Below are 12582 nucleotides of genomic sequence, written 5' to 3' on the forward strand. Positions count from 1 at the left end.
GAATTCTTGCTAGATGTAAAAAAGCCATTGAAATTCTGGCTAATTAAAACAATAGCAATACCAATTTATTAGTAAACTGTAAACTAGTCTTTTTTTAAATGTCAAAAGACATATTCGAAAACCTCTCACACCTTTTAAAAGCAAATTGCTATTTCTTTTTAAAATAAATGGATCAATCCTTTCACTGGGTTTATTCAGTGAAAAAATCTGCCCTTGAAAAGGCTTTAAAGCATTTCTGTGTTAGAAGAGTAGAATAGGCCCTGAATTAAAAACCAAAACAAAACAAAAACCAACTTTCTGAATTTGTACCCCAGCTACATGAGAAGAAAAATGTGGCAGTCTGTAGTTATCCACAGGTAGACTTAATCAGTAGCACATTTTACTACTCCAAAGAGAGAACTAAAGCCTCACTCTTGGGCTCACAGTCTCTAGCAAGCTAAACTGGACATACTTGTATATAATGAAAATAATAAAAGAAAAAGGAAACGAGTTTTAAACTTTGGTGATTATGGGGTAAGAAGAAATTTCAGTGAGGTAAATTCCCAGCTTATACTTAGTTGAGCATTTGGCAGAGTCGATAAGTAGAGAGGGTCTCTTAAAAGAAACTATTCCCTGGAATTGAAAGGAATGACTGACATGATTTAAATAATAAGAGAGAATTAGAAAGAAAATAAAGGCATTTATTAATAGGAATTCTTACATTTGCCTGAAGATGAATTATTGCAAACAATTAAAACGTGCTTAATATTTGCATATGAGTCACTGTGTATTCACAATCAGTTCAGGGGCATATGTCATATCAAGGTTTCTTTTTCCTTCTTGAAGGCATTATTCCAACTGTAAACATAGCCTGTGACATCATAGTGCTTAAGCTGGATGTGTTTTGCATGTTATCAGTTCTTTTGCTGCATAGTATTACAAAGATATGTGTCCAAAGGCTTAGTGAAAATGAAGAAAAAGAATGCATGCCACGTTTAAGGTAAAAATCAAGGGTCTCTTTTCTTTTTTGTTTTCCTATCCTATCATATTGCAGTCTAAAGTATAATCTAAATAGAAAAGCGCTTAATGTGGTTCTTATTTAAAATATGCAGTGACTATATTTTCCTGCATGGAGCTCCCGTGCTTCCAGGAATACTGAAAGTTAGGGATAAGGGAGGGAGGTAGAAAGCATACCTACAGATTCAGGTGAAGCAAGCATTCACGGGTCAATATCCAGCATTGACCAGTCGGAATGGTGATTCTGATGGTGAACTGATTTTCATTCACACTCTCTCCTACTCCCCATCCATTCACCATCCTGAGGATCCCATTTGGTTAAGCCTTACTACAGGGACAAACTTTGCTTCTAAGTTAGACACACTTATGTGCCAAGTGTTTTTGTTTCATTTTCTTTCTTCTTTCTTTCTTTCTTTTTTGTGTATGTGTGCACTTCTAGCCTGGAAAATTTGTGTGTGTGTGTGTGTGTGTGTGTGTGCGGCCAAATTTATGTCTTGATTTCTGATTTATAAGACTTCCCTCTCATTGTGGATAAAGCCAATGCGAGAGGTTGTAGAATCTTCCAGGTTGAGAATAGCGTTTCCATAGTAACACTATTAGATGAAAAGTGCCCTGCGGGTCCGCCACTCTAAGGACGGAGTAAATGGAATTGAATTGGGAATTGAATGCTCTAGAAGAGACAGATGTTGTTTCATTGGTTTCGTTTTTAGTAACAAGATCTGTTGGAGTCATCTTAGTGTCGTATCCCTCCTTGCCATTTTGGAAGAATTATTCTGTAAACATTATGAATTATTACAATGAAAAAGTACATCTAATTGGTATCTGGATAATCCATTCTGTTGATCAAAGTTAGGAAAAGATAGAAGGACTTACAGGTAGGCACATGGGCAGGTAGTAGATGAAATTTTCTCCTCTCCTCCCATTTCTATTTCTTTTTATTGCCCACCTCTGTACTCTGCCAGTTTGAACAGTGAATATTCCTTTTAAGCCTTACCAGCCAGCATCCTTCAACAACCTATCCTGAAAGATCTAGGGGGAGTCCTGAGAAGGTGGTGGGGAAGGACAACTATATTCTCACATTCTTGCCCAAACTGTTCATCAGGGTATTTGAGAAAGGCAGTTTCTTCTTCAAACTAGTCCTAATCTACCTTAATTGTCATGTGCCTGAGACAAGGGAAGTGGCTTGTGGAGATAGCAGGTAACTTTGATTCCTTCTTCACTACCTGTTATCTGCAGACAGATCATTAAATTAAGAGCCTTGAAAACTAGTATGAAGGTGCGAGAAGATTTTTTTTTCCTTGCAGATGTCCATGTACCCTATCAAAAATTAGCTCTTTTACATACATAAGAAGAATATTTTCATAGTTTTTACTTTTTCCCTTACATGTAACTGCCATTCACCTTCACCTCTGACCAAAGCTAGGCTTTGCTGAAACTAACCCAGGCTTGGATGACAAAATCCTTTATCTGAGTTTTAAAAGATCTCTGCTACTTTGTAGATAGCGTATTTCAACTTTGACTAGATAAGGACCCTGACTATTTTTCACTCAAGTGGGAATCATCAGTCTGGGGAGGGAAATGGAGTCGATTATTTAATTACTTGAGGGGAATATTGGAATGCTCTAATTTTTCTGTGATATACATCATATAAACTCTGTTTTAATAATGAAGCGGGTGGTTTCCAGATTCTGGGGCAACTGCCTTTTTCTTTTTCTTAGCTGGTTATTGAAATCCTAATGGGATGGGTGATGAATTTTCTTAGGTCAGGTAAACTGAAAAGGCTACAGCTGGAATTCTTCACCCAGAAGAATCGGAGTTAATACTAATGATCATTGTGAATTAGAAGATCAAAGGAGAAGCATCAGCCTGTTCTCCACATTGTTGCCCCAGAGGCCATTAGTGACCTGGCAAAGCTTTCTCCCAGCCTTCTCTGTACCTCCTTCCCCTTGCCTGGGCCTTTCTTCCCCACTTGTAGTTATGCACCTCTGACCTGGGGTAATTACAGTCAGTTGATGCGGAGGCATGGGGGAAAACAATCGAAAGCAAAATCAAAAGTCCAACTTTAAAATTGCTTATTTATCCAGGTATATAGCCCTTCTGAGCACACGACCTCTGTCTGAGACTCTATGTTACTGTCAGAGTATGAGTGCAATTTTTGTGTGCAGTGAAATAAGTGGTTTATTCATTTCACCAATGGTTGTTTCACTATAAGAGACTTTTGTAGAGTCTGGCTGGCAATTTGTCAGATCATTCTAAAAATTTTCTTTTTTTCCCAAGGTTAAGATACAGATACACGATAGTTTGGTTTTCTGATATATTCTTAATTGGGCTGATTAAATAAAGGATTATGTGTAAAACAAAAGTGCCCATGGACTTTTTACAATTTGTTAGGTTGTTACTGATACACCTAACTGAACACTAGCCAGCCATTTGTACTTCAAAGTGTGTATCAATATCATGTCTTCTTTTTATTTTAATTAGTGATGATATATTTTTAAAGATAAAATATCAAACTTGGTCACTGAGCATGCACCTCAATTTATCTTTCCGATTAAAATTGGAGTACCACAAGTATACATGTGAGTGTGTGTATATTTTTTTAACGAACTCAATCCAACCCCTAGGAATTTTATGCTAGTTTGGTTCTTTCTTTCTTCATGTTTAAGATTCCTAATGAAGATACCTTGTCTTAAAATATGAAGGTTTGACCACAGGAAAATCAGATAGATTTATTTTATAAAAGATTCCAGTGTTTTGGATTGTTTTGTTTTTGTTGGTTGGTGGTTTTGCCAGTAGTAGTAAATCTACATGTCGTGGAATTTAGGATCCTAGGACTGAACTGGTAACATCCACATCATATCTGTCTCTCATGCTAAAGTGTGAGTATAACTATCTGCTCATGTATGTCCCTACCCCTGCCATCTATGAATTTTAGTAGGGAAAACTGATCCATTTTACATCTTTTAATCCCCTAAGTAGCCTTGTCCAAGGTTCTAATTTTTCTTCTTGTACTGATGTAGGTCCATGACAGAGGGCAACCAAGTAGTGGAGTACTTGCACATTGCAACCAAGACCACGTTGCAATGGTCTGTTGCTCAGCTCACAAAACACTCTGGGCCATGACCCAAGCTTACCTTTGATAGATTGAAAGCCATGTGGTAGCAAAAAAAATATTTGATTGACGCTCCAAGGCAGTAATGATAGGGATTGTGTAGATCCACATCAAAATGATTGCTCCTGATGTGTGAGCACTTTCACTTCAGTATTGCTCACCCTTCCTTGTGCAGAGTCCGGAGTGTGGGCAACTTGGCTAGCCTCTGTGGACTTGATAGTCACTTCAGTGTGTCAAGAGCCAGAGAGTGCGCTCAAGAACTCAGATAAGGCATCTCTTTCTTGGTGGGCCAGTGGAGAGCCTCCAGGAGTAAGCAGTAGATGAAAGGGTTATGCTACGCAACCTTCTAACATTTTAAAGGCTTTTTAGTCCTTGTTTTTCATTGCCATTGCAAAACGCCTTCACTCAGCAAATTATAGGCCAGTGAGCACGGGTCCCAAGATGAAATGTATTCCTCTATCTAAAGAAAAGGTAGACCTTAAATAACTTGATGTTATGAAGGCCAACATCCTAAATTAGTTGGTATTTAAATGAGACAGAAATGACTTGGTTTTATGTTTTTAGAAATATTCTGAAATAGGTCTTGGTAACTGCTTGAATTTGAATGTCCTGTTGGCATGATCTCTTAAAAAATGGGGTGGTATATATTAATTTAACCTTGTAGTTGTCTTTGCATTTCATTTCTTAATAATCTATGGTCAGTTTTTATCTGTTTCCACAATTACCTTTGTTGCTAGCATCCCTGCAGTACCCAAGTGCTGTCATTTGCCACGTGGCATAGATTACCCTGAGAATTTGGTATCCTGGGAAGTTTTTGGGATGTCCAGAGACCAGCAGGTATAGTTTTTTTTTCCAACATGAACACTCATCCTATGAAAGATCAAGGTCATTTCTGTTGCAGTTTATAGAAGTTTAGAAAAAATTCTTATCTATTATTTAAAGAAAAGCCAGTTGGCCGGGCGCGGTGGCTCATGTCTGTAATCCCAGCACTTTGGGAGGCCGAGGTGGGCGGATCCTGAGGTCAGGAGATCGAGACCATCCTGGCTAACCCAGTGAAACCCCGTCTCTACTAAAAATAAAAAAAAAAAAAAATTAGCCGGGCTTGGTGGTAGGCACCTATAGTCCCAGCTACTCAGGAGGCTGAGGCAGGAGAATGGCTTGAACCCGGGAGGTGGAGCTTGCAGTGAGCCAAGATTGGGCTACTGCACTCCAGCCTGGGTGACAGAGAAAGACTCCGTCTCAAAAAAAAAAAGAAAAGCCAGTTTCCCAACTTCAAGGGGGAAGAACTTCACAAAATGAATTCGTTGAAAAAATAAAATAAAATATTCTCCTGCCTGCATAATGTGACTTTTATTATATTTTTAAAAATTCAGCTATTAATTGCTTGGCTATTTTGACATTGGATTATTCTATCCTTTCAACAGCTGAAGGAAAAAAATTTATTGTAATGCTAAATAAAAATGTAATATGTATGTATGTAGTGCTTTATTGTTTAATATTTTCCTATACACTGGATGCATAAGACAATCCTGTAAGGTGGGCAGCATGACAAAAATGAAATTTAGAGAAGTTAATGATTTTTCTCAAGATCAAAAGCGAGGAACTGGCTGAGCTTGAACCAGGATCTCCTGACTTGAATTTCCATCTGCTTTCCACCACGCTGCCTCTCAAACACACAGCAAATCAAATCGCGTTGTGGGAGTTCAAAGATATAATTATAATCTCATTCCACAAGCTAGCTAATTAGTATTTTTAAAAAATAAAAATATAAGCCAGAGGGCTTGGCATAAAACTTCATAATGCAATCTGATGGTTATTAGTAACTAAGGGTCAAGAATGGTCCTTCCCTATCTGGAATCTTTTTCTGCAGATATCTGCCCATAAAAAAGGCAAAGAAAGCTACATCTGTTGATATTTTGTGACAATCTTGATAATTTTTGCGTTTTTGGAATTTCAGATTTTCAACATTATTTAACTGCTCCTCCTTCCTTACAGAAATATGTAATTCTCTACCCATGTCTGTTACCAACAATGTCTGTGATAGTGCTTTGGGGGGTGAAGAATCTTTCCTCATGCAGATCCTAACTAAACCTTCTAACACAGAATTTAGCTCCTTGAAGATTTTTTTTTTTTGCCTGTCACGTGGCCTGGACGCCAAAGAGCTAAGTCTTTAATTTTCTTTATGGAGATAGAGGAAACTGCTTATGCAGCCCCGATTACTCTTGAAACTACAATCCAACTGTCGTTTCTCAGCAAAGAAGGCTGCTAAACCCAGGAGAATTAAGCTGCCACTCTGGGGTATGACACCGAGGTCTGATCATTTTAAAGCTAGTAATAACCAGAATCCTAAAATTCTTATGAATAAAATGTAATTTTAGTAATGTTTCCATAAACAGTGGTAATGGTGGCATTTTAGTAGGCAGTGACATTAGTCACATAGAAATTGTACCACATTGGCTTTTAAATTACTCCACCTGTCTGTATGAATAGAATTTTCAGTGTAAAAGCAGAGAGACAGCTGCTGCTAATGTCTCCTTCTCCCTGTGCGTATAATGCTGGCAAATCTACATGCAGAAAGGACTGGCTTGTGATGTAAAATGGTACCTGACCCCGCTGGCTCCTGAGCTACAAAGCAATACCTTTAATTACCAGTGGCTGTGTTTAGTTGTTGATATAAAAATGTCAGCTTCCAGGAGTGTCACCTCAGGTTCACTCCCTCTAGTAATGTCACCCATCGTACAATATTTTTCTTCCACCCACATCCGTAATGCGATGGGTGGGCATTTATCTTTGTGTGTTTCAGAAACATGCAAGGCATTAATAGTTTAAAGGAAAACGCCTAATACTGTACGAACTTGATTAATGATCTTTCCGTTGGAGAAATTTTAAAGATTAGTGGAATTTGGTTCCTTCTTTCTAGCCAGAACAGAAATATGGCATGCCATTTGTACCATCAAAGGGCTTAGCATCATTTATCTAATACAAATACAGGTTCTTATGTGAGGATCATGGCAGGCATGTCATAGAGCAGAAAGGGTAAAGAATGGAGGGGCTTGAGAATATCAAATCTGTTACTACGTGCCCATGTTTCCTATTGATAGATGAGGAAGTTTACTTTTTAGATAAGCCCCTTTGCTCTTAGCCATTTGGTTATGGTTCTATTGTGGCAGCTCCATTGAGACAACAGTGGGCCAGGCGAGGGGATCCTCCTGTTGGAGATGCCTGTTGCCAACAATGTATTTGATGAAATGGTAAATAGGAGATATACGTGTCTGGCTCATTGGCAGGCATTCTTTTTGACTTCTTTCACACAACTGGTGTTTTCGTGTTTAATTGAACAAGGAATGAGTAGTAAATGAAAGCTGCTGCCTGAAATCCCACTGTGAGCATGTTTTGCACTTGGCTCCCCAGTGAAAAGGCAATTTGTGAAATTATGTGATGGAGTAATTAGATGAAGCCAGGGCTTCTGACTGTTGCCATGCATATGTGGCGAGGGTTTGTTGGGAAGAGGGAGGGGGAGAAAAAAATAGATTATTACTCTGGCAAGTCGGCTCAAAGCTTCTTCATTTATTTGTAAACAGAATATTTAGTGACCGCATAGGAAGTAGCTGTAATCACCAGCTCATAAAGAAACCACAGCAGAGCTTTTGGATTTTTGCAGAGTGCTCATGTAAAATTTAAGCTGGGAGGCAGAATCCCTGTTAATGTAATTAGGATCTAATTTACCACCCTTTGCACACAGATGTAATAATGTCTAGATATTTATTCTATCTTTAAGCATGTTACATATACCTCAGTGCAGCAGTTACTGAACAGAAACAGGTGTGAGCAGTTTCCTAATTCGTTTTTACACTGTAAACACATAGCAATTTAAGGGAAATATTTACCAAAAACGAGGGGAAAGAATGTCTGCAAATGAGGCAGTAATGGACAGTTGCCGTTTATGTACTGATGGATTTCTCAATGGTTAAGTAAATTAAAGCAAATGCTAGAAAAATCAATAGGCCAGCATAGTCTTGGTTTTGCCTCATAGACTTCAGGACAGAATGACAGATGTGGTGTCTATGACCCATTTAAGTATTAATGCTTGAAAAACTGCTTCTGCATGCAAGGTTGTAGGCTTAGAAACATTCTCCTATATTAAATTACAGACAATAATATTTTTAAGTATATGTGGAATTTATATGTTTCAGTTAGGTTGTTCTTATGTGTTACATTTATACTGGAAGATTAGTTGCTTAGTTGTTGCAATAGCACCATAAATCAGTTTTGAATGTTCCCACAAGGAAACATCTTCATAACGCTGTAGTTGGAAGGTGAAGATGATGTATTTTGAGCTGACGTGTATGTTGAAGTGAATATGCTCAACAGCACTCTATGTGGAAACCAAATTAAATTTAATTAAGGAGTAGATGCTCAGAGCCTTTGGAAAAAATCTGTAAAGTAGCATTCAAATGTGGCATTATAATTCAGTTAATCTCCAGGGCTACAAATGCTGTATTTTACATTTGAACTAACATGGGTAACATGTCACGTAGGTTGACTGTCATAGCGTGTGGAATTGTGGAGCTATTCTGATGTCCTAAGTGGTAGGTGTTAGCCTCTGAAAATGAGAAGGCAGACCTTATTTGGTAGCCCCTCAGAATGTTAAGTTTTCCACTCGTTGTTCCTATTTCTAAAAATTCATTACCAATTTCATGATAAATAATTTAAATACAGTCAAAATGTTGATTTGTTGACTACCAGAGATAGGAAGGCAAGGAGAGAAGCAAGGCCAAATGTACTTGCATGTCAGAGACCAAAATTTGCTCTTATGATCGAAATAAAATGAGGTTAAAGTTATTATCCTGGTCATTGGAGGAGAAGGTGCCTTTTGTTGGAGAGAAAAAGAGTTTTGCTGGCTTGAAGTGTCCTGTTTACCTTCTTGTGCTGTCTGAACTTAGACAATAATTGCTCAACTACCTTCCTTGCTCATGACAAAGCAGGCATGGTCCAGCCTGACTCTGGGTTTTGAAAATCAGTATGTAAAGGTAATATTGTGGCTAGGAGCAGTGGCTGTTGCCTGTAGTCCCAGCACTTTGGGAGGCTGAGGAAGGAAGACTGCTTAAGCCCCGGAGTTCAAGACCAGCCTGGACAATATGATGAAACCCCATCTCTACAAAAAGTTAAAAAATTAGCCAGGTGTGGTGGCTAATGCCTGTAGTCCCAGCTACTTGGGAGGAGGTGGGAGGATCACTTGAGCCCAGGTGTGTTAGGCTGCAGTGAGCCAAGATTGCACCACTGCACTCCAGCCTGGGCGACAGAGTGGGACCCTGTCTCAAAATGAATAAATAAATAAAATTTAAAAAATTAAAAAAAAAGGTGATATTGTGATAAGTCATATCATTGGAAACATTGCTAAGTTGGTATGATGAAAAGAAGTACAGTGATTATTTAGGTTCTAAATAGAAGCCTTTAAATTTTTTTTCACACAAGTATTTTACACAAATATTTCATGAAAATATTTACAACATTTCTCCGAACTTGTCAAATTTATCATGTGATTTAACAATGAACACATCTGGAGTTTTAACTGAGGTATAACAAGTAACTTTAAAAAAGTGAAAGTCTATCACCTGAAAAACTAGAAAATGAAAATTACTACAGAATTGAAAATTCTTTTGCTTCTTTAAAAACAGTGCTCCTTGGCTGAGCACAGTGGTTCATGCCTGTAATCCTAGCACTTTGGGAGACCAGGACAGGCAGATTGCTTGAGCCCAGGAATTCAAGACCAGGAATTCAATGGGCAACATGGTGAAACCCTGTCTCTACAAAAATACAAAACTTAGCCTGGTGTGGCGGGGCACGCTTGTAGTCCCAGCTACTCAAGAGGCTAAGGCAGGAAAATCGCTTGAGCCCAGGTGGTGGAGGTTGCAGTGAGCCAAGATCACTCCACTGCACTCCATCCTGGGCGGCAGAGTGAGACCTTGTCTCAAAAACAAACAAACAAAAAACAACAAACAAACAAACAAAAACAGTGCTCTTTAAGCTATGGCATGCATTTAAATTATCTGGATCTTTTTAAAAATGTAGATTCTGATTGAGAGGGTTGGGGCCTGAGATTCTGCATTTTCAGCAAGCTCCTATTGCTGCTGGTGCTGCTGGTCCACAGACTGCAGCTTGCATAGAAAGGATCTAAGGTACACAAGCAAGATGACAGATTTTAAATGGAAAGATGATTGTTTTTCTCTTTGATTTTTATACTTTGATTTTGCCCCCCTGATTTTGAAGCTTACCCCATTGTTTTTATCATATTAGTTTGACAAAATGTTTTATTTTTTCTCTGCCAACTTTCAATGTTTTTTAAGCATATAAGAAGTTCCTTTTGAATATCAAAGCACTTTCATTGGATCCCTCAAGTACTCTGAAAGCTTCTGATAGACGCAGGGCTCTGCAGAAAGACAGACTGTTTCTTCTGGGCTTGTTGACAGTACACTTGTGTGTTCGGGTGGGTGGAGGGGTAGCCCTGAAGGTCCCATGATACAGAATGTTGTGGTTCACCTCCACCACAAGGAAACATCTTCATAGCTTCAGTGCTCTGGTGACAATATGCAGCGACGGAAGTTATCATGGAGTGAGGGCAGTGTGTGTGGCATGCTAGCTCCTAGACTCCTGCAGAGGCTCTGCAGATCAGGTAGCCTTTGTCAGTAAGAAAGTAACAGAATCACTCACTGCAGAAACAACACATATGTTTGAGGGAGAACTGCGTTTGTGCCTCACACTTCTTGCCTACTTTATGTCTGCTCCAGGAGATCCTTTTGTATTCCCACTGCCTTGTGTACTTTATCTGCCATGGGCACTGTCACTCTCAAATTTCGCAGCATCCTGGAAGGAAGGTGAATTTGCTTTCAAAAGTGAGTATCTGAAAAGTATATTTCCTCCAGTGTGGCTAAGATCTAAGGAATTATTATAAGTAGTGCATACCTATTAATCATTGCTTAGCAGGTAAATTCTCTCACTCATTAGAGTTCACATGCTAGATGTAGTTTCTTGAAATTAGGTCATTTACTTTGGTCTAAGTCATTGAGGATCAAAGGTCATAAGGAATCCAAAAGCCATTAGTCAGGGTTCTTTTCTGGACCCCTTAGATGTCATTGTGCAAGTCACCCATGGCAGGCCGGGCCTGGCCTGCTGTCAGGGAGCTGGCAGGGTGCCTACTTTATTTCCAGTTTGCATAGATAAAAAGCAGAGCAGCGACTCTTGGAATCACTATAAAAATAAGCTTACATAAAATCTCCATTTGAAATACAGTATGTGTGGTGTGCCCCTGCATGCTTTCTATTCTGGAAGCCATGGGAGCTAGAAATCAAAATTAAGAAGCGAAGAGACAGACCTCTGATGGCATTGTAGACTACTCTTTGTTTGGGTGTAGGCATTTATAATTTATGGTAAGTTTAGTGAAGACCAAATTTTCACAAAGAATTAAAATGACAAACCAAGCATTTTAATTTGCTAAATAAAATAAAGGCATTGCTTAACCATTGTCAAACATATATATACATACATATAGCTACCCCCTCTTAATAAGACTGAAGTACATTTGTCGGTATCAGAAGTGGTGGGCAAGAGATATAGTCAAATCAATTCATTTACTTCTCTCATTGAGCCCTGTGAGTCTCAGGCCCACACCTTGAAGTGAAAACATCATCAATTACCAAAATGACAGGTGCTCAGGACTTACTTCCTGAAAGATGTTCATATTGGACCAGACACCACGAGCACTCAGCAACATTCATCACTTCGTTCAAAAGAGACCGAAAAAACTGTGGGGTGAATTTGCAAGGGAAAAAAGGCCAAATATACATGCATGAAATAGCATACGTTTGAATTTCTAAAAGTCAGACAGCAAGCAAGTATCCTATTTTATTTTAAAAGATTATTAATTGTTATTTAATAGTCAACTTGCATGTGATCTTACAATTAATAATTGTATCCCCATTTCACAGATGAAGGAACTGGGACAGAAAAGGTTAAAGATCTAACAGCCATCTTAGTGTACAATGAAGTTGGGACTGGAAACAAAACTCAGGGCCATAAATTTCAACTTCCTGGAGCTTACCACTTCCATACCCTGACACTTAAAATTATGACTTGTTATTGTTCTTGAAATTGTCCTGCATACACAGTTGACTAGAACTAATGAGAATGGAGGCAGAAGTCCACATAGCCTCATCAGAGTCATGCCTTTGACACAGTTATTCCAGAGCAATCACAACTGCTGTATGGTCAACCAGAGCTGGGGGCCCCTGTGTAGCCCCTTTGCTGTCCCTAGAGATCTCTGTGGCTCTGATACCTGTATTGCAGTAAAAGCAAGTGTGTGTGTGTGTGTGTGTGTGTGTGTGTGTGTGTGTGTGTGTGTGTGTTGGGGGGGAGACAGGGATCATGCTGGCATTAGGGCCTTTATCTATGAATACCTTATGCTTTTTGGTTTGAGG

At 38.8% G+C, this 12582-nt stretch overlaps 1 protein-coding gene across 1 annotated transcript in view, besides 2 other annotated features; it reads left to right on the plus strand.

Annotated features, from left to right (window-relative positions):
* MEIS1 (Meis homeobox 1) overlaps positions 1-12582 on the plus strand; it is a 138745-nt gene that overhangs the window by 80007 nt on the left and 46156 nt on the right. The window lies entirely within an intron of this gene.
* Positions 5992-8778: an enhancer, noted in NCBI's record as "E7 enhancer". NCBI's record gives its function as "enhancer in posterior lateral mesoderm" and the evidence as "EXISTENCE:transgenic organism evidence [ECO:0001131][PMID:24022755]".
* Positions 10907-12335: an enhancer, noted in NCBI's record as "HCNR606". NCBI's record gives its function as "enhancer in midbrain" and the evidence as "EXISTENCE:transgenic organism evidence [ECO:0001131][PMID:24642863]".

Source organism: Homo sapiens, chromosome 2 (assembly GCF_000001405.40).
Source record: "Homo sapiens chromosome 2, GRCh38.p14 Primary Assembly".
Taxonomy (NCBI): domain Eukaryota; kingdom Metazoa; phylum Chordata; class Mammalia; order Primates; family Hominidae; genus Homo; species Homo sapiens.